Source organism: Homo sapiens, chromosome 4, assembly GCF_000001405.40.
Source record: "Homo sapiens chromosome 4, GRCh38.p14 Primary Assembly".
NCBI classification, from domain to species: Eukaryota; Metazoa; Chordata; class Mammalia; order Primates; family Hominidae; genus Homo; species Homo sapiens.
The window spans coordinates 104,722,708-104,745,971 of NC_000004.12; the positions used below are offsets into that span (position 1 = coordinate 104,722,708).

At 36.8% G+C, this 23,264-nt stretch overlaps 1 long non-coding RNA gene across 1 annotated transcript, besides 3 other annotated features; it reads left to right on the forward strand.

Annotated features, from left to right (window-relative positions):
• Positions 1–4,568: 4,568 nt before the first annotated feature.
• Positions 4,569–10,183, forward strand: LOC124900746 (uncharacterized). The gene is made up of 2 exons (XR_007058212.1): positions 4,569–5,003; positions 9,299–10,183. It is a non-coding gene; the product is annotated as an uncharacterized LOC124900746 (long non-coding RNA).
• Positions 5,805–6,099: an enhancer, noted in NCBI's record as "tiled region #3032; HepG2 Activating DNase matched - State 8:EnhW". NCBI's record gives its function as "activates a minimal TATA promoter and a strong SV40 promoter by Sharpr-MPRA in HepG2 cells {active_cell/tissue: HepG2}" and the evidence as "EXISTENCE:reporter gene assay evidence [ECO:0000049][PMID:27701403]".
• Positions 20,359–20,588: an enhancer, noted in NCBI's record as "active region_21767". NCBI's record gives its function as "activates an Ori minimal core promoter by ATAC-STARR-seq in GM12878 lymphoblastoid cells {active_cell/tissue: GM12878}" and the evidence as "EXISTENCE:reporter gene assay evidence [ECO:0000049][PMID:35858748]".
• Positions 20,619–20,768: an enhancer, noted in NCBI's record as "active region_21768". NCBI's record gives its function as "activates an Ori minimal core promoter by ATAC-STARR-seq in GM12878 lymphoblastoid cells {active_cell/tissue: GM12878}" and the evidence as "EXISTENCE:reporter gene assay evidence [ECO:0000049][PMID:35858748]".

Consider the following 23,264-nt stretch of genomic DNA (forward strand, 5'->3'; position numbering starts at 1 on the left):
TATGCCCTATTATGTATTAGTAACAATTCTACTTCTAGGGATATAACACGGATTTGCATACTTAGGTGCTTCAAAAGATATGTACAAGAATGTGCATGGCAGCATTATTTAAAACAACAAAAAGCTAGAAACAAGCCCAATATCCATCAATAGAAAAATGATACATTTTGGCACTTTCATACAGTGAAATTCTGTGAAGCAACACAAATGAACCAACTACTGCCACATGAAACAACATGCATGGTTTCCATAAGTGTTATGTTGACTGAAAGAAGCTAAACACAAAATAATATTCATTGGGTAATGTAATTTACATGAAGTTAAAAATAGGCAAACTAATGTATGGTGTTAGAGGTCAGAAAAGAGTGGTCATCATAGCAGAGGAGGAAGGATCTCACGTTAGGGAGGGGACATAAAAGATGCTGTGGGATGCTGGTAAGCTTCCAGTTCTTGAGCTGGTAGTTGTATGAATGTATTCATTTTTGGAAAATTCATCAAGCTGCACACATTAAGATCTGTGTCTTTTTTGTATGCATATTATAAATTTTAATAAAAGTAAAGTTTGTTTTTATGTGTTAAGACAAAGGATTATTTGGTTGCTCTGCTGAGAATATACCTTAGAAATACTGGAATGGAAGCAGAGTGATCAGTTAGGAGATAATTTCACATTACAAAAATTTAAACTATTTTACTTATGAGGTTTTAGAAAAGGAGAAAGAATACTGGATTGCAACAGCATGTCAAGAGATGATTGAAAATTGTTCTAAAGTCCTAATATTCCTCAGGAGTAGGTTAAGATTGATTAACCTTTGTTAATCATGAATGTTAAAATATCAGAAATGACCATTAAAGGCATACAAATAAATTTAAAAATAGATTTTCTTCCTCCAAAGAAGTAGAAGAGAAAAATAGAATGAAGGAAAAAACAATTGAAAAAAGGCAAGGGGAAAAAAAATCACAGAAAAGTGAGAATTAGAAACCACAAAGTAAGATGGTAGAAACAAGTTTAAATATCAGCAATCAAAAATGAATAAATGAACTGACTTCCTTTCAGAGAAGAGAATTCTCAGCTCAGGGAATAAATCCAGTCTTATGCTGTTTTCAAAGTGGCAAACCTAAAATACAAGCTGTTAAAAGGCTAAAAGTAAAAAGATGCAGAGATATACTGAGCAACTATTAATCAAAACAAAGCTAGGGTATCTGTTTAATTTTATGCCAAAGAACTCATAGAGATAAAAAGGGAGTGGGGATCATGACTTAATGATAAAGTTTCAATATAGAAGACCTATGTATTCAAAACTTGTAGCAACTTGTAAAATAGCTTAAAATTATAAAAAAAAAAAAAAAGCCACACTAGAGCTACAGAGAGAAATAGATACCCCAGCATTGTTTCAACACATCTTTTTATATTATTCTTAGGTAAAGGAGACCAAAAAAAAATTATGACAATAAGAAAGTGGTGAGAATACTAGCTTCATTTAGAGGAAATACATAGGTCCTTGGATCTGACAAACAGAAAATTCCCATTCTTCTCAGGCACACATGAACCATCTTTAAAATGGGTGAGGGGCAAATAGTAGGTAATTCTCTACTAATTTCAAAGAATAGATATCATCCAGATTATGTACTCTGGCCACGATGAAATTACTACAAAACAAAAACAAAAGATCTATTTTAAATCATATACTTTAAAGTTTTTTTTTAAAAAAGCATTGCTCAAAACTCATTAAGAAAGAAGATATCATACTGAAATAAGAATTTTGAACTGAACACTAATAAAATTACTTCATATTAAAACTTTGCAACACAATACAAGTAAATGTTTGAGGGAAATTTTTGTCTTAAATGTTTTACATGCAAGAAGCTATAAACAAATTGCAAACCAAAAAAATAAATAAATAAATAACTATTTTTAAAAGTAAGTAAGAAAAACAGACTACATCCAGATCAATGATGAGGAGACACAGGTGGTGAGAGAGAAAAAGAAGTCTCAAAAAAGAAAAATGTGGCCATTATTTTTATTTTTTGAAAAAAATGTTGAGTATAGAATTGTGGAAGCACAGATTTGTAAACAAAGGCTGAAGACAGCTCAGTTGTAGAGATAGGAACTTCTGAGAGAGGGACGCCCTCACCTGTAGCTCTTCAGGACTGAGAAAATAAACAACTGCCATCATGGAAGGGGACAACAGAAGGGTACATGTTCTTAAGCCAGATTCAGGCCTCAGCTCAGTAAGAAGGTGAAAGGAGCTTTCTGTGAAGAAACTAAGGGTGTGAAGCTTTGTTTATCATGATACAGAGGTCCCAGAGGAAGGAAAGAAAAGATTTGGAAGGGAGTAAAGAAGTGGGAAAGCGAGTCTGGGAAAAACTGCATGATATTAATAGTATTAATAGTACTAGAATGAGCGCACATGAGAGGAACAGACATGAGGCTTTCTTATGGACTTTGGTTAAGAAAAAGAAAATGTGAGGCTCAAGGTGTTTTATGTCCCTAAGGCTCTGAAGGAAACTCAGAAGGAATGGTGTATTAACACTCCCACAGGCTAAAGATCCTGACATACTATAAGCTTGTTAATTCTGACAAAATGTAGCCCTTGGCCAAAGTTCCAACAGAGCACTGTTACAAAATAATTGAGAACTTTCTGAAGTCCTTCTGGCAAAAAGCAGCAAATCAAAGGACTCCGGTGACTCTTAGAATCAGCTAAGAACTGCCGGGCGTGGTGGCTCATGCATGTAATCCCAGCACTTTGAGAGGCCGAGGCGGGCGGATCACGAGGTCGGGAGATCGACGTCATCCTGGCTAACGCGGTGAAACCCCATCTCTACTAAAAATACAAAAAATTAGCCGGGCGTGGTGGTGGGCGCCTGTAGTCCCAGCTACTTGGAAGGCTGAGGCAGGAGAACGGTGTGAACCCGGGAGGCGGAGCTTGCAGTGAGCCGAGATTGCGCCACTGCACTCCAGGCTGGGCGACAGAGCGAGACTCCGTCTCAAAAAAAAAAAAAAAAAAAAAAAAAAAAGAATCAACTAAGAACTGATTTTGGTCACATGTCAGTGGAAATCCACCCCTGTTCAGGTGCTAGTTTTACTGGTTTCCAGGACATTTTCCTGGTATGAATCTCTGGCAAGAGTGGATTTTGACCTCGGTTGATGGAGGCAGTTCAGTTTGTTTCAAAACTTAACAGTTGTGTGACCTAGTCTGAAATATTTAAAATTTCTTCGTTTTTCCCCTTTATATTTAAAATTTAAAATTGATACAGGGTCCTTGAGATGACTGCTGATAACACAGAATAGTGCCTAGCCTTGAAGGCGCCTGCTACATAGGGGGTAGTTCATAAATTGTAACTCATCATTAGTATTAACACTTGTTGCAGATTATTACTTATCTACAAGTTACAAGCATGCTTATGTGCTTTAAAAATCACCAGTCCTTTAGCACACAAGTACATGACAACCACTACCCCTTAGCCAGAGTCTACCAGATCAATAATTTCACTTCCTTTACTGCATCCTGTTGACCAGGTCCAGCTTCCACTTCAAAGTTACCTCACGTTGTCCACATTGATACTGCCGCCATCTCTCCCAGGAGATGTGGAGAGGGAAGTGGGACAGTCAGCAGCCTTTTATGCTGCCCTTTATATGCTTGCTCTAATTCTTTTACGCTGTGCTCTGCTTGCCTCTCTTTTATCCCGCTCTTGATTCATTCATTTATCAAACAGTTATTGAGTGTCCGTGTACTAGGTTGAATACTAGGGATACAAAGTTGACAAAGGCATAGTCATGCCCTTAAGAATATCACAGTCCAGTGGGAGAAGGAGACGTGAGCAGATAACTGCAGTGCAATTAGGTAAGTGCTACTGGAAGGTTTCCATGGTACTTTTGGGAGCAACTAACACTTCTGGGGCAGATAGACAAAGTCTCACAGAGGTATCTGAGCAACTTTTAAAAAGGTGGGTAAGGGGATTACCAATCCAGGAGATGGAGGTGAGGATAGGGAAGGAAAAGAGAAAGAAAAGAAAACTACCAGAGACTGAAGCATTGAGCAGAGAGAGGGTGGATGGGTTCCAGTAGAGAAAAGCATGGGCATTTAACTTCACTGCAGGATTTTAGGGGGAGGCTTAAGAAAAAAAAAAATGATATTCAGGAAAAAAATGAAGTAATATTTCTCAAGGACATATTGCTTGAATTAGAAGAAAAAAATTTCCATAAGATTGCCCAAGAAAAGAACATATGTGTTCACTATAATTCGCACTGGAAAATTGAAATCTTTTAGATTCATGTTATACTTTATAGAAATGCAGTGGTGAACAAAAATTATCAAGGCATATTTAGGCATCATTTGGGAAAGTTTTAGTTTAGCTTGCATAAAACATACTTTTATTCTTTTTCTGCCTTCTTTGGTGAGTAGGCAGACTGCACTATACTCTCTTATGAGTGTTATTGTAATGAAAAGAAAAAGGATGACCATGGCAACCCAATGTCCCCATTCACATCTCCAAAGCCTTTACATTTCTTTTACCTTTTGAAAAAAAAATTAAAAGTTTAAAAGACTTTTACCACCTCTTTTGCCCCATCAAAAAGAAACATTATAGCAAAGTAGGTCCAACCCAATGAGAACCAGCAAAAACACAACTTTCTCACTTTCACGTTCACTCACAAGACCAGTGGGTTACACAGGAGTTGCTGGGAAAAGCTTCTCTCAAGAGTTATTGAGCAGAAACTTCCAACTCTAGGCCCTGAAAGGTAACCATACTATAAAATAAAACAGAGGAAAAATGTCCTAGGACTGATAAGGAGCAGGAAGAATATGTTAATTGTGGTGAAAAATGACCCGAAACATAACTTTTGACTACTTTTTCTGTTTTCTTCCTTGTCCCTAGATCCTCTCCCTAGCTCTTACAACAAATACCCAGTTCCTGTGGGTTTGTAACATCTCGTTATTCCTGAAGGAACAGATCTGGAAGAAGGCAGACTTTTCTGTAAGCCCAAAAATTCTTCAGGGTTCCTGGTAGGTTGATATTATATTCCAGACCAAGAAAATAAGAGAAGAAAGGCAGAATAAATTTTGTATTATTTTCTCACAAATATTTACAGGTCAAAGTCCCTAATCCTTAGCTACCGCTTAGGGTTGTCGTGTGTCAGCAGGGTTAGCCTGGATTTGTTTCATCTTGGTTAGAAAGCTGGTATCAGCAATTCTACTGAATATTAGAAACGTGTTTGTTTCCTGGACATATGGATCATACACACATCATGTCTTTTTGTCCTGTGGAGTTTTATTCTAACATTTATGTTGAGACAAAGATAGGCCCTATTTAGATTCTAAATCATTAGTACAAGAAGATGTTTTAGAGATCATCTAATGAATGAAACCACTCATTTTTTGTGGAAATTGAAACACCTTAACTTGGTATCTAATATTGCGGAACAGTAAACAGTTTAATTTTAACGTGTGTAAGCTACAAGAGTTTCAGTACCTTTAAGAAGAAGAGGAGGGGATATTTTAATTACTGTAAAGCAACTCATGATCACAAAACAAATATTTTCATACTATTTTGTAAATAACACTAAACTCTTTTTATCTCCATCAGCCTCAACCACGTGGTACCATTTTGCATGCAGACCACTCAGGCTGAGGAGCATTAAATTTAATTTGTGCTAAAGTTGAAGGTGGAAAAGCGTGAAATTAACTTGATACATTTTTATGGCATTTTCTGTCTCCTAGCTTCTCTGAGCCTTTCCAATCCAGAATGATTTGATTGGCTGTGTCAGGATCTCCCCATCCCTGGAACTTCCCTCTACTCTCTGTTCGGTGAAACTTTGAGGTCTGTGCATGTGTAGCCCATTCTACCTTTGCCCACGGGTGACCCAGCTGAAGAAAATGCTGATTTATTTGGCTTGGTATTTACTTTGGCCAAGCTTCAGTCTGTGCTCAAGGTTCACTCTTCTTGGTGATTCATCCTTTCAGGAATATGTGTGTGAACAGCAAAAGATGAGTCAACTCATTCAAGAAATCATTCAGCATGGTCCAAATAGCTTGCAAAGATTTTGAGAGAAAGCTAAACCTTTTATAAGGCTATACGGTAAATAGTAACTTTCCAGCAATCAGTTGCTAGTATAACACCTACAAACTTTCAAGGTTTTTACAGATATGCCTCAATCTCTGGGGATAAAGCTGAGATATTCCATATTGTATTCATCAAGGAAGCACTTCTACACAATTTAAAAAACCCATAGAGCAAGAGCTGATTGAAGGCAATTATGTTTAGAGAGAGACAGATGGAAATGAGACTGTGGGTTGCCTACTGTAGATTTCATTTAGTGACCATTTGTTAAGTGTTATAAAAAATGTCTACACCAGGAAATGTAAGCACTCCTATCCTATTATTACAAGTCTTGGAAGACATTGCTATCAATTCTGTTCATCTTCTGATATGATCATTCAAATAGTATTATTTAAATAACATGGTTGTACAGAGATTTTGGAGTTTCGTGAGGATAGCTTTGCAATGGGGTATATTTGCAATATTGAAGAGGATAATAAAAACAAAAATGAAATGTATAAATACCACAAATTGAGAATTTTACCTTATTACATTAGTATTTAAAAGGTAATCATGAATGAATATTTTGTGCATGTTTACAGAAATAACCATGTAGTAATTTTGTAAAGGTACCTATTTAAAATTTATTATGCTCATGGCCATGTGTCTTTTCCAGTACTGGCCAGTTTGCCCTTAAAGAAACTCTTTTACCCCACAAAATAATTTATCTTTTTTTCAAGAGAACATGTTTTTTACCCCAAATAGGACTTGTACTCCACTTGCCAATACCCAATACAAACCAAATCTTCTGCATTAATTGATTCTGTCTGCTGTACAGGGACATTTCCACAGGTGGTGGGCTCTAGTGGTGCAAGTGTTATGTGACATCATGCATTCATATCTGATACATGTAAATAAATAAGTTTACATTTGCTCATGCCTGGATTTTATCAAACTTATAAATAAAGGCCTTCCTGTTTCTAAAAGGACTGTAGAAAAAAAATCAAATGATTCAGTCTCATGGCAAGGCCTTTCAAAGAAAGATTAAAGGGCTTCATAATAAACCTATAATTTGGGAAAATAAGATCAGTGCCTTTCCATTAATATTGGAAATATTAAGAACACCAATAACATGGAGAGAAAAAGTAGAAATAAGAGAATATTTATGTGTTGAGAAAGAAGGGGTAGACTTATTTGTCCTTTAAAAGAATAGTTGAATAAGAAACTCACAAGATAGGAATTTTTTTATCCTCGTTGAACAAATGAGAAAACTGAGGATCTGCAAAAGTGTTACTTGTCAATAGTTATACCAATAGAATACAGCAGAACTAAGATGGAACCCAGTTCTAACAATCTGCAGAACTTAATCCTTGTAAACTTAAGGAAAGTATCTCAGAGAAGATTATGTCTATGTTAAAGTTTGAAGAAAGAATTAAAGCCTGATTTATGAACACCTAGGTAAACATTAGAGAAAGAGTATTCTAGGCAGAGGGTGAGTAATTACAATTATAGCTATAGTTTATAGCATTTACTTTGTGTAGACACCTAATGCACAAGGTACATAACTATTAAATAAACACACATTGAACCTCCTAACAATCTAACAAAGTAAGAAGACAAAATGAAGACCAGGTAAGGTTTCAGTAATCCATTATAGTTATGACATGTCAGAGCCTGACTTGAAGCTGAGTCTGAAGGATCCCCAAAGTCTGTGCCCTTTCTAAATTCTTAGGGTCACTAGCATAGCTGGATCAGAGGTGATGGGAGAAAAAATGGTAGAATTGAGGCTGTTGAGTAGAACAGAGGGCAGGTCACAAAAAGCTGTGATAACAAAGCTAGGGTGTTTATGACTTATTCTTGACTAATGAGAAGTCTTTGAAAGATATTAAATGAAGACATGACATGATCATATTTGTGTTTTAAGGTCATTCTGGGTAACGGATAAATTGGAGAGGCTTACTCAAATTATGAGGCAGAGACCTGTTAGTAGACTATTTAAATCACCCAAAGCAATAAATACTATTTAGTTAAGTAGCCATGGAATTGGCGTAGACAAGAAGGGTTCTAAATGTATCAAAGAGGTAAAATGACAAGGTATAGAGACTAGCAGATTTTCTTGCCAAGAAAGAACTTTATAGTGATTCCAGGTCTCTGATTTGGTTACTGGAAAAATCAAAGACTATAATGGAGATTAAAGATATACAGTAGTCATTAGGAAGTAAATAAACAATATCTAAGAAAGATCCAGTTATCAGCCTAGGTTCAAAATTCATGAAAAAATTTTGGTGTAGTGAAGATTAGAAAATGTTATTATTAGAATAAATTTGGAGAACACATGAGAAAGCAAATTGCATTGAAATTACAATATAGAGCGGGGCACAGTGGCTCACGCCTGTAATCCCAGCACTTTGGAAGGCCAAGGAGGGCAGATCACCTGAGGTCAGGAGTTCAAGACCAGCCTGGCCAACATGGTATAACCCCATCTCTATTAAAAATACAAAAACTTGCCAGGCATGGTGTTGGGTGCCTGTAATCCCAGTTACTTAGGAGGCTGAGAGGGAGGATTGCTTGAACCTTGGAGGCAGAGGTTGCAGTGAGCCAAGATTGCACCTGCCCTCCAGCCTGGGTGACAGAGACTCCATCTAAAAAAAAAAAATTACAATATAGGTGATTTTTGCATTTACAAGCATTTTATTTGTGTTTATATTTAATTTTGTCTACTTCACATCCCTAAAGCATACATTTCTTGACAGCAAGAATTTTATATTCTTGTTACCACTCAAATCTCTGCACATAGAATAGTCCCCAGCATAGACTAAGAACTCAGTAAATATGTGTGGGATGGATGACTGTGCATTGCATATGCTTGAGATCCTGACTAGAGGAATCCTCATAGTTTATGCAGCATCTTCAGCCAAGTGTTAATGTGCTGTTTATTTCCTGTCCTGATGAATGAAATCGGGTTTATTTCTGACATTCTGACAAATAGAAAATGTGATAACAAAACTCTCTGAACTCTGGTGCTACCTTCTTCCTCCAAATAATGAGTACCAAATAAATTCTCATATTAGGCACTCTTCAAACTCCCTAGAAAAATCAATAATACAAAGTGATGAGACTAAGGTTAGATTATTGATTCATCAATTAATATTCTTTTAACTTTTCTGACAAGAGATGGTCTCTTCAAGGCCACTGATAGCCACCTAATCTCTACTCCTTTTCCTAATCTTTATTCTCCTTGTTGTTTCATTTAACCTTGAAGGTCGCCCAGCATGGCCAGGGTCTCAAACCGTCTAATTCAATCTGCTCTAATGGAGTCAAGCTGACAGTAAAGAGAAGATCAGAAACAGCGAGTCTAATCTGCCTATATGGGAGAAAATTCAGCAAACAGGAACCAGCTCAGAGACCAAGAAAACCAAACAAGGTTATTAACCCACATCAGAACACCAGAGAGATAACAAGAAGTTGGTTCCAAGATGAAAAATGCAAGAGAGAAGCAGATTGTGGAATAAAAGAGAGGATGTTCCATGTTCATATACACCTGATTGTAGTTAGAGCCTCACCCTTCCTTTCTATCTCAGCAGGGACCTTCTGGAAAAGCTTTTCATTCTGTGCACTTTTCTTTCTCTGGCTTTCTTTGTCTCTAGATTTTCTTTGTTCTGTGCCTGATCTGTCATAATCCTCTGAGGTTTTATTCTCATTCCTCTGCATCCCCCCCTGAAAAAAATCTTATTTTCTTACAATTTCAGGTATCCCATAATACTAATTATGGCTAAGCACCTCTTTGTTTCTATGTGGATCTTTTCTTGAATCCTTGTTTCATACCATTAACTGCATACAAAATATCTCTATTTAGAAATGATATTGCAATTTCAAACTCAACTGTATGAAAGTATTTTTATTGGTATCTTAAAAACACATTTCCACTGATAATACCAATATTTGAGTACTCCTCACCTTGTGTTCAGATTACTGCAATGCATTCCTATCAGGTAATTCTTCCTTCAATCTCCTGCACCTCAAATCCAACTTATTAATATCTTCAAATTTAAAAGAATTAAATTCCATTTTTAGCATATTATCCCTCTGATTGAAAGGAAAAAATCTTAATTTTTTTGTTACAATAAAATTTCTTAACTTAAAATCAGCTGAGAACTCTTGCTGTGTTTGAGGTTACAAAAGTGCTTAACTAGAGACTGTAACAACACTATTCAGCCAACAACAGGGGTTATTTTTAGAATCCTACTTACCATTAGAATTCTAAATTTGAACCTGGACTTGCAGGTTACTATGAGGACATATTTGTCAATGTTGGAGAATGCAACATATTATATTTAACAATTTGTTTTCCTAGTTTGTTATTTCATGTATGTAGGTATAATATGCAATTGTACTCCTGCCCCACCCTTGAAAATCTAGTGGATGAGCCTAGAAAGAAACCTGAGGAATCTGATAAGACATGAGCAGAGGCAGAAACTTCAGCAATTGTGGTGGCAACAGCCACAAGGGAGTGTATGAGGTAAAGTTTGAAGATCTACTAATACATTTAAGTTAGAAGATTGAGGAATAAAGTCTATATTCATTAACCCATCATTACTAACCCTTCATACAGTTCATCAAACATTCTTCGCTCGTGCTTTTAAAATGGAATACCATGCTCTGCCTCCCCTTTCCCACTTCACCCCACCTGCACCTCACATACCCTGACTGCTTTGAATCTTTCTGCAAACACTGAGTACTCAACCTTCTATAAACTCCTACTCTACTCCCTATACTACATTTTTCTCCTAACTCCTAAGGCACATTTTTGTCTATCTTGGTCATTTGGAAATTAGCATTCCCAATTTTATTCAGCCTTGTAAACTTCTTAATGTTATAAACACCATATACAAAAGCTCTTCTAGATTGTGATCTTGTTGAGTTAAAGTACCATGGCTTACTGATCTCTCTTAGTGAAGAGGGAATGTACCGAACCATGTTAAATACCCAGATGAAGTGAGTTAAAGTTATTTTCCCAATGTTTGTTTCTTACGGGTGTTCCCTGAAAAAGGATTTAGCGTTAAAATAAGTTTGGGCAGTTTTTACAAAGTTAAGCATGTTTCTTTACTTCAATGCTTATCAGAGCCTTTAATATACTATTAAATATGATTAATATCTAAAAACAAATAATAGTGAAGAGTTGACCATATTTATTGACCTTTTTTTCAAGAATATCTTACACAGCTAGTGTTACATAATAGATACTTTTGAAAAGCCTGGCTTAAAAGCTAGTCCTCAATCAACTATCTACATATGTATTATTCATATGTAGTATATAATACCAAATTTTCGTATGTATTCAAAAGGCTACTTTTTACTTTGACATCCCCATTCCAACTCTGGGAAATTGTTCAGACTCTACAAAACTATCTGATACGCACATTTCCTGCTCACTCAGTCTTTAGAGATAAAAATTCAGGTCTCTTTTACAAAATATAGTGATGGACTGATCTCCATGTCCATTGATAAAAGATCCAGAGTGAATAGCTTTATATCAAAACATGAAATATTACGATTCTAGTTATTAACTGGAATGTGTTAAGGAGGCAGATGAGAGATAGAATCTTTCGCTCTGAAGAGCATCTGATTTTTCATGGCTAAAAATGGTTTTGACATCTGTGAGGTGGACCTTATCAGGATTTCTTGGGTTGTAAGCATCCTGTGGACAGACACAACGGCTTTCTTAGTTTTATAAAGTATCTTAAGAGAACATCAGCTAAGAATATTGACAGTAACAATGAACAGAATGCTTTTTGCTCCCTCCCTCACAGAGATGCTGTGAAAATTAATGACGGGCAGTCTGATAAGTTTCTTGAGCTCCTTTGGGTAAGATCATATAAAATGTAAAGTATTTTCACATAATGATGTTTTTGTCTAAGTCTGTAAGCATTTGTAAATTATATGATCTTAAAATACATGGTCAGTGAAGCATTAACTTCTTTGAGAGGCAGATAAATGAAGTTTATGATTGGCATGTGTGTCTGAACATTAAGAAGCTACTTAGGCTGGGTCCAGTGGGTCATTGACTTAGTAGTTCTCTTTTCATTATTTACAGATATCAAAGTAATCTAAATTTTGGCATATCACCTTCAGGGTCAACAGTAAGGAGGATGGCCAGCCCAGAAACACTCCCACTATTATCTTAGCTGACCTGCAAGTAACTACATTGAGAAAAACTCTATCTAATTTGTGATAATGCCATGGAATTAAGGTTTCCATTAGTACTCTCAGACATTGTGGAGTATTTTCCTCAAATACTGTCACCTTCATTTTTTCTAATTGAATTTCTCATTTTTGAAGCCAGAGTTTCTTTTATCAATACCGTTATTAGCATTTGCATTCCTATTTTTAACTCCCATTTCAAGGCATGCCTTGAAAACATTTTGTTGAAAGCAGTTATTTGCCATGTTTAGTGTGTTGCAGTTCGGCAAAATTGAAAAAATACCTCTACTGCATTAGTAACATAAGAACAAAAATGTATTTTATCACTCTGGGTATGTAAACACTCAGAGAACAGAAAATCAAATAATAGAAAGAAGAGGAGACATAGTCTAATGGACTCAGCAGAGAATTAGGAGCCAAAAATATCTCAGCTCTAACCTTGGCTCCGATACAGGGTTCTATGTCCTTGGGTCTGTTCTTTTCTCTTCATGGAAAAGAAGAACTGAAAAAAAAGTGCTTCATTGTGGTAGAAATGGGGAACAGCAGTTGGAAGAATCACAGACATTTCAGTATGATTTAAAGCAAGATTTTCACCTTAGCTGTACCACTGTTATATTTCTATCAATTGCTGTCACAAATTTGACACTGTCTCTGTTCATGCTGCCGTAATTCTAATTGTTTTGTCTCTATATCCTTTGAACTTGAATGCTTTCCGGGTACAAATAAGTCATTTGAAAGACCTAAGTTAAACAGCCTTATCCTTTATTCTTGTTATGACAGTGGTATGCAGCTATACATTCCTTAAGGAGACAACCAGTTCAGGAAACAGAGTATACATGCCTTGTGGTGTCAAGTTTTTCTTAGGGTTTGACCAGGTTGAATATATTCTATTACACACAGTCACCATCTGTGATGTTTGGACAGAAGATAGAACACATAGTACCTCACCAGCATCTTGTATAAACCTGTCATTTTAATTAGTGAGAGACCATTTGTGTGAGGGCTTACACATCACCTCATGAAAAAAAAAATTATCTCCTCACATCAGCAAAACATTCCAAAACACAACTTAAAGGCAGGAACTGTGTGCTGCTCCTCTGTATTTCCAGCATCTAACAAAGTTTCGACAAAAAGAGTGGCCAAATAAGTGTTTATTAAATTGACATGTATAAGATTAAGTTTCTCTTCCTAACTATATAAGTAATAATGCTTATCCGAGCACCAGTAAAGGGAAAACTAATGGGTAAAAACAAGAATGAAGCTCCTTCGAGGTTCACTTTCACAGATGCACCTGCTGCTACCTTAGCCACCACCTCTTCCTCCCTCTCAGCACACGTGGGCACAGAGTGGACCACAGTGAGGACCCTGCTATTAGGGAACCCTTCTCCAGATGCAGTATCTTGGTATTCTTGACAAACTGCAGTGCAGTACATGTCGCCTCCTCTTCTGTCTCCACTTCTCCTATGGGTCTAAATAAGTTAGGAAGTATCTCCTCTTCCCACTACAATGGGCTTCTCAAAATTTCTCTGTGCAGTAGTGGAAAATGTCGCTCAACTACTTCAATCTTTCTCTACCTTGCAAGTTCACACTACCAACCCTCCCCTGTCCCCCAAGCTAAATGGACAGATTGCTGCCTCCCCCAGAGTCTTCCTTTAGCCAGTTAGACCCTTTCTGTTGGAAGGCTTCCTCTGCAATGGAAAAGATACAATTTGAGTAAATCACTACAGTTACTGCCCTAAAAGTATCCTTTTATTTGGGTTTTTGCATAAAGACACCGCCATATCTTTGGAAGATAAAATATGTACATACTTCCAAATTAAATTCCTTTTAAAATTCATGAGGTTCTTGGGGTTCTATATATAAACTGGAACTATTAGGGAATAGACTTTCTTCCCAGAATATTCCTTTGTTGGGCCTCTTTCCTTCCCTGTCTCACTCAAATGAGACAAAGGCAAAATGTTACTGTCTCCCAAGGAGCTTGGTTTTACCAAATGTGCAAGTGGAAAGGCCCACATAAAGCTTCCTTTCCCAGACAGAAAGGGAAGTACAACATTATTAATACTTTTAACAGGAAGTAAATCTGTTTGGAGACTTAACTGCTGTATACCAGCAATGAAAATATGGGGGGTCTAGAACAGGCCAGGACGATTTCTTAGTCTTTTGCCAAGCCAAAGTCTCTCAGTATGCAGTAAGTTTAGTGGGACATGGGAATAAAATAAATCAGAGACCCCTACCTATGCCAGAGGTAATAGACGGTAGATGGTAATCTGGCATAGTTAGAGATTTTCCCCCATCTAGTTATCCAGCTTGGTGTTGACTTCAGTGTTAATAAATTGAGGGTGGAAGAAACAAGAATAGACAGGAGCTCTAAGCTTACTGGGTAAAGGGGGACAGATTAAAAGAGACAGCATTTCCCTTTGAAAACTCTTGATATAATGGGCTCCAACCATATATTTTTTGGAAGAGCTTTGACATTTCCCCTTTCCCCTCATACTTTGACAAGGGAATTCTTTTATTTTCTGCCTGAGCTCTTAGAGAGATGGCTATGCAAGAAAGCAACAAATGGAATATATATGGCATACGCTTTTCACTTAACCTGGGACAAGTGACTGATCAAACGTTCTAAAAATGAGAATATGGGGTGCTTTAGGTATGATTCCAACCTACCAACATGGTAATATAGATAGAGAAGTAAATATATTTAATAGCAACAGAGAGTAAACCTAAAATGCTCACAAACTGTTAAGCATATATGGACCAACAGAGAGATCAAGAGCCCAAAGGAAGCACAAATTCAAAACCATTGCTTTCGTGTCATCTACAACATTCAAAACACAAGGTTACATAAAACTAGGGGAATGACAAAAATTAGCAAAGGACACTAATCACAGTATGATAGGCCATTGAAATACTGTAAAGTTTCAAGCATCTTATTATGGGAAAAATATCAAAGAGTTGAAAGGTACAGAAATGACAACAAAATGATAAATGTTATCAATGTTTATAACTGAAAAAAACATAGAAAAAGAGGTTTTTTTCATTAGAAAGGAAGAGATTAGAAGAGAGAATTATTGAGGTATCTAAAACTCTGATGACTATTGAGAAAGGAGAGACAGGAAATGGCTCAAAAGCAAAAGAGAACATGAGCAGAAAGAAACAAAAGACTGCATTAAAGGGAATTCAGAAGCAATGTATTTGCAGAGTGTAATTACTATGGTCTGAGAAAAGGCTACTGATATCAGATGGGCAATATCCAAATCCTGAGTGTATTTTTACAATGAGTCAGATGAGGGTTTTGTTTGTTTGTTTTCATTTGCTTTTTGTTTTGTTTATGGCTGTGAGAGGTGGGAATGAGGGGGACTCGGTGGGGAGGGTAGTGGGTCGGAGGTGGGAGAGGGGATACTCTATAAGGCACAGAACCTACTTACAGGGATTGATTCATCAGGACGACATGGCTCCTTTCCTTCCTGAAATGCGAGCTGCTCTCGTTCATTAAGTTAACACACTGATCTGGCAGAGCCACATCCTGGAATCCTAAAAACATCAGCTTCCATCTAAACTTTTCATTTCTTATATGCTTAATTTGGCTTAGTCAGCTTGATGGCAAGTTTGCAATATTATAAATATGCATATGGCCTGGTATCTGCCACCCATCTGATCCTGACTTAGTTGCCTATAGGAAAAAGCATAAGCCAGATAGGATGTGCCGGTGGGCAAAGCTCCAGGTTTGGAGTTCAGGTTCAGTCTTGATAAATATCAGATAATACTGACTGCTTATCTAAACTGCTCAGTCCCATAAAGCCTGTGACCTTTCTTCAATCACCTGACTAGGTCTTGTTCGCTCAGGGTAGAGCAGAAATTTTAAAAGCAACCCACACAAGCCACAGTTTTACCATAATTTTGCCTACTAATGTTATAAAATATTTTGACATTCAAATGTCTCATCCTTCAGGGTCAAACCAACACTTATTATTCTCTATGAAGATGTATTCCCCTACATTATGCTGTCCCCAAAAATTAAAGGTATAGAAATTCAGAAAATAGCCTTACCACACTGGGTGCTTGTGTCACACTGGTGCATCCATAGGTTGGTAGTATCACAACAAAAAGTCTTTCTCCCCTCAAACTAAAATTCAGCCCTCCTGCATCCACAAGACATTGCTTTGCTAATTTTCTTCTAAAATGTTAACCTCATTTTTCCTTGAACCTGTAAATGTTTTAAAATACCTCCCAAAGAACCTCCTCCTGTAGTAACAACTATATCCCAACCTGCTAAAAAACTTCTCTCTGTGGCAAAATAAATAAATTAATTAAATTTTTTTAAAAATAAAAGGAACAAACTCACAGACTCTGCTTCTTCGAAGTCCCCAGCACTCATTTAGGCCCCAGTCTCTACTTTAATATTTAGTTTGAACATCATTTTTGGTGCACCTTCTCCATCCAATCCTCTCCATCCAACACCAGTCATGGCTAAGCATATTTTAGACTACATGCCCAAAGCATTTTGTAGGTCTCCATTAGAGTTTATATCACATGTTATCTCTGTATGGTTTGTGAGACTGCATTTCCTATTCAATTCTGAACTCCATAAGGTCAGAAATGATGTCTTATCATTTTGGCCTTCCCTAGTAGAATGATTGGTACATAATAGATATTCAATAAATGTTTATCAAAATCAATAAAGTTGTGTTAACTGTTCCCAATAAGGGTGGCTGCGGATGGTTGGGAAAGAGAGCCTGCTGGTGCTAAGGTCTCAATATTTGTATGCCCCTACATTCATATGTGGAAACAGTTCCAATGTGAAGATACTTGGATGTGGGGCCTTTGGAAGATGTTCAGGTCATGAGAGCAGAGTCCTCATGAATGGGATTACTGACTCTATAGGAGATCCCAGGGAAACTCTTTCCCTTTCTACCACCTGAGGACATAGGAAGGTGCTGTCTATGAAGCCAGAAGAGAGTCCTCACCAGACACCAAATCTGCTAGCAGCTCCAGCTTGGACTTCCCCACCTCCAGAACTGTGAAAAATGTATCTCTGTTGTTTATAAGCTACCCAGTCTATGGTATCTTGTTATAGCATCCTGAAAGGACTAAGTCACCAGGTGATCACTTTTACCATGAAAATCAAGGAGAAGGTGAGACTGGACAACTTTTTCTAAGGTAGTTAGGAAAATTACCATGAATTTAAGCCACTAGAAAAAAGTTTTTAATCCATACTCTCCCTCCCCCACCAAAAAAAGTGCAAAAATTCAAGTTTTTGAGCAAATGCTTACTAACCAACCCCAGAAGGTATTTTAGAGGTGTCTAGATCTGAATTTTCTTAGAGAAGTTTAATAGTAGCAACACATGTGGTATATGGAGCATTTTTTCCTAAGTGTTTCCATCTTTATCTTGGCATATATTTTCACAAATCTAGCCAGCAGATATGAGAATATACTGAGATTTCATTTAGCAGATGAAGAAACCAAAGACTCAAGATGTTAGGCAATTTTCTCAGAATTATACAATGTGTCAACAACTGATTGGTATCCAGTCTCCTAAATCCACGCTGCACGTTCTAGCAACCTAAACTTGTCCTCTTTATAAAGGATTCCCCTTTCTCGTTTCATTTCTTTCTTTTATTAATGCATACATTCATTCATTATACAAATATTTTAGTTAGACCTATGATAAAAGAAAAAGAATCATCAATTTGGAGCTCAGAGGCTTGACCTGGAGTTCTTCTAACACATACGTAAACATTCAAATGCAGCCGAATATAATGAAAAGAATACTTGGAAGATCTGGGCTCGATTCCACTCCACTGCTTTCTGGCTAAGTGATCTTGAGCAAGTCATTTCACTTCTCTGAACCTCAATCCCTTTTTCTACAAAACAAAAATAGAAGTATTTATGTGATTTACTTCATAAGGAGCTTTTGAGATGGAAAACCTGAAACCACCTTGTAAAATGTAAAAGCTATATAGTGACATTGATAACATTTATTGAATATTTACTATGTGCACAGTGATGCCATAGATATTTCATAGGCATAGACTAATTTTAATCCTCACAATGATCCTGTGAGGGAGACACTATATTATTCACATTTACAAATGAGAAATTCAAGGAATGAAGGAGTTAGGTAACTTTTAGAAAATCAAACAAGTAGGAAATGGAGCAAGGATTGAATCTAGACAGGGACATGCCCAGGACCATCTCTAAAACACTTAATTATGCTGGCTCCCAAACGAAGACACTGAGCATTTTCATGTTCTAGGAATTTAGGATGTATTAACTCATGCAATAACTCTTTGTATGTATTATACCACTCAATCCCCTCTACAACCCTCTAAGTGTGTCCAGAGGCAGTTAATAAAGATAACTAAGTTCCAGCTTGCTCCTCTATTCTTTCTGAACACAGCAGCTGGAGTGAGCCTTCGCTCAAAACCCACTAATGCTTCTCATTTCATTCAAAGTAGAATACAATGTCTTTGCTATGGCCTAAAAGGTCCTGTACAGTCTAACCTTTTGTTGCTTGCCCTACCAGTCACCTAATTTCTCTTTTCAAGTCACACTGACCTCCTTGCTGTTTCTGAAAAATGTCAGAAACATGTTTCTTCTCAAAGAATAACCTATCAGAGGTTCCTTCTTTTACTATTCAATATAAAAGAGAAACTACCCACCCCAACCCCAGCCAATTTCTAGCTCCTTCTGGGTTTATTTTTTTATGGCACTCATTATCATGGGGATTTATTTTTGCCACCTTATATATTTTATATGTATCTGTTTGTTATCTGTGTCCCTCCTGCCACACATACATAAACACTCCCTCACCACGTGTGTGTGCATGCACGCACACACACACACACGAATATGAGCTACTTAAACCAAAATCTATCTGTTTTCTGCTGTTGCTCTCAATACCTAGAACGGTGCCTGACATGCAGCAAAAGCCTCAAAACTTGCAAGTTTTATGAAAAATTGATTCTGTGCACTCAGATTTTAAAAATCAGATAAAAAGGCAAGGGAAACTTACTAAAGATTCTGATAAACAGTTTACAGTGAAAAATTGGGGGTTAGTATGTTTTTACTCCATTTTTTTAGACCCTTTCAGGAGCCCCAAATACAGTCCTCTATTGTGAAATAAGGTAAAGTATATCTGACCAAATCAATATCCAACTACATCTCTCACCTACAGGGGTCCTTACCTTTGCTTCCACCCAGACAGTAGCCAAGTTTGTTTTCAGTCACAAATAAAGGATTAAAATTTACCTGATTCAAGCCAGGCATAGAAAAAAGAATTAGAGTTTAGGCATGTGTAGAATGTGATTCTTGTTATCTCTGATCTACTTCACGGGAAGGTTTGTTTCACTAGAAGTTGCAATGGACTCGTATCACAAAAATACCTCGTGCATCATTTTTAATCCAAAAGAAGGTAGGTCCTAACTAACTTATTATTATTCCCTTGCTTTTTCTCTAAAAACATTTGTTTGCCTCTGTTTTATAACACTATGGGACAAATGAGGTGAGGAGGCAGGTGTCTCAATAAGAAAATGCTAAAACAGAGCAAAGCGTGGTAGAACTCTCCCGAGAGGAAGTGTTCGCAGAGGTTTCAGAAGGACCTGAGCAGGCAGGAGGAGGAGATGCTGTTTTGTATTGGTCCCATGTATTTGGCAACCCTGGAATATAATATGGTGGTGTTATCATCATTTCATGGAAGAATTGTTCAGAAACCAGGGAACTGGAACATAAATCTCACTGTTCTCTGGCTAGGTCAGGTACCTCAATCTCTTTCCTTTCTATGAGGCATTAGTAGCCAGTGGAAAAAGCATGAACTTTAGAATCAGACAAAATTGATTTTGAGTTTTGGATCTACTATGTGTTAGCTGTGTGATTTGAATATATCACCTAACCTTCCTGATCCTGTTTCTGCCCATCTAAAATTGCATTTATAATATCTGCTCCCTAGGACTTTTGTGAGGATCCAATTAAGTTATGCGGTAAAGACCAAATGGTCTTGAGCTATGAAAGTCTGTTTCCTTCTTTATTGCCTTCTTCTCCCATAATAAAAACAAAAACAAAAACATAAAATACAATCAGCTAACTCTTGATAAAGGCTGCAACTGTTAAAGTGACATCTTATCATTTGTTTTTGAAGTAAAGATTACAAATGCTTCTCCATAAGTGTCTAATAAAAAAGACCTAGGTGTCAAATAATGTGGTTAGGGATTAATGAAAACTTCTGCATTTACCTTCTGTACTTTGAGTAAAGCATTTAAGATCCAATGGTCGGTACATGTCCTTGCAGCGTTCATCCCTTAAATTTGGTAAGAAAAGAACTGCTCAAATCTTTAGCTTGTAGGAGGAGACATAAGATAAAATGCAAGAAAAACTTTGGTATAAAGAGGAACCGAAAACACGATTTGCCCCTGGGGAACGTCAGCTCTCCTCTGTCTGACTCTCTTTTCACTCACACACAAAAAAAATACTGAGAAATTTCAAAGTCACTTGGTTAAAAGAAAACTTTAAAACAGCCAGGGTGCCTACAAAGCAATCCCTATTCTGCCCTGAGTTATGTAGAGAGCAGCTTGGATCTTCACATATCTAATACAGTGTCAGAGCCAAGCCAGTCCCAGGATTATCATGAATCTTGTATGAAGGCTAAGTGTGGCTTCAGCCTGCCACTGTTTGAGGGGTAGGAATTGGAACCCCAAATTTAGCCCTGCGTCCTGCTCATGTCTCAAGGGAGTGGGAGCCTTGAAAGCTTATTTGATTGCCCAGTTTGATATTCCCAGTGTTTAGTAGTAAAATCTGCACCACAAGCTAGCAAAAATAGAAACTCTGATTCTAAGAGGAAAAAATAAGATGGATGCAATTATACAAGGAAGGAGAACAACAACAACTCTGAAGCTGCATGAAATAAATATTTTCTTAAAATCATACTATGGTCCTTTGTAAAGGGAAATAGAGCTAAATATTAATAAACCATATGGCTTTTATTGAATTTATTTCATTTAAAATATGTCTAAAGGCACCAAAATAACTTTAGGCTCTAATTTTAAGGAAATTCATTTTAAATTCTCTATTTTGAAATTTTATTTACTCACATTGCTTATCTCTTGAAATGTAAAGGTTTGATTTGTGACAATCACTTACTCTATAAGCACCCAAAAGTGTTAATGACATCGTGGAGGTGTCCTAAGACTGAATCTAGCAGGATGAATAGTAATGCATTCTGAAAGATTTCTAAAAAGCTTAGTGTATTTCTATATAACAAATGTATCTGTGCAATTTTTATCTTCCTAAAAAACAAAGGATTAGAAGTTACATTGGGAAAGAATGAGATATGAACAATACTTACAATATTTTACTGTTGTATACTATCTTATAGCTCATTCAGATATTTTTTACAGACAATATAGTTTCTCATTTTTACATAACAACATGCCTGTTAAAAAAAATTCCCTCTTTTAGCAGATGATGAAATTGGGGCCCAGAGAGCTAAAGGTTCTTTACCAAGTAAAAACACAGCTAGAAGACAGTAAAGCCAGGGCCAGCTGGCAATTCCTCTGGCCTTTGAGTTATGGTCTAGGCCAGCGGGCAATGAGGATGAGCAACATACCTAGGCTAAATGATTTTTTTTTTTTGAAGCTATTTTTGCCCCATACCTATGATACTCCTATGTCAGTATTTTCCTTTTTTGCTTTATACTATAAGAGTAACATACTTTTCAAATTTCTGATTTTATAATTCAGGAACAAAAGTAAAAAGGTTTACTGGAAGGGAAGTTGATAAGATTATTTTCAAATCATTTTCCAAACATCTTACAGCTTGCAGTTTGTTTAGCTTTATTATGCTTTTATATTTTAAATAACAACTGTTTTAGATAGTATTTTATTGTTTTTTGTTTGTTTTTTGAGATGGAGTTTCACTCTTGTTGTCTAGGCTGGAGTGCAATGGGGCGATCTCGGCTCACTGCAACCTCCGCCTCCCAGGTTCAAGCAATTCTCCTGCCTCAGCCTCCCGGGTAGCTGGGATTACAGGCATGCACCACCACGCCTGGCTAATTTTGTATTTTTAGTAGAGATGGGGTTTCTCCATGTTGGTCAGGCTGGTCTTGAACTCCCGACCTCAGCTGATCCACCTGCCTTGGCCTCACAAAGTGCTGGGATTATAGGTGTGAGCCACTGTGCCTGAACTTAGATAGTATTTTAAAATGTACATTAGGTACATTTCTTCACAAAAGGTGGTTTTTGTTTTCTGGAAAGTTACCTCTATATTTAGAATGGAAAGCTCTATATAATTTTTCCCAATGACATTTACTATGCTAAAAAAAAATCGAGATTTTTTTATTTCATTCAACTAAGCAGAACAATAAAATATAAGACATTCCATTGTTCAGTTTGTCTCATTTAGAAAAGAGCCTCTGCTTGTAAAAGTAGTCTTGTGATTTAGAAATAAAAATTGTATATCTGAAGATGATTTTTTCAGAATTTATACATTTATTTTATATTTATCAAAAGCCTATTTATGTACAGAAAAACAAAATCAGATATTGTACAGCTGGAAAACCAGTATTCCATGACAGATTAAGAAAATATACATAGCAAAGGATCCAGGCCTGCCATTCTGTTTTCCTTTTAGAATTTTAGTCAACTAGGAAATAGAGTTCGAAGAAATGACATTCTCTTTCTGCTGTTTAATTTGGCAAGCGGTGGAGGGGTACCCACAGCTGGCCCCCATCACTTGCACCCAAGATTAACACAAGGTGATTTGGACAAACCTTAACCTCCCCTCCCCTGGCGTCTCCTTCCCAGGAATCAGTTGGGATCAGGACTGCCAAGTCAGAGCTCTGGGGCTGTTAACTATAGGAAAACTCTGAGAAATTAAGATACGGAAAAATCTCCAGAAAACTGCATGAGGACTTATTTCAAAATATTGTACATAATAATCAGAATTCAAAATATGAAAGAAGTACCACCAAGACTGCCACTCCAGAACTTTGTAATAAATATTGTATTGGCTGTCTTGATAATTGGTGAGCTC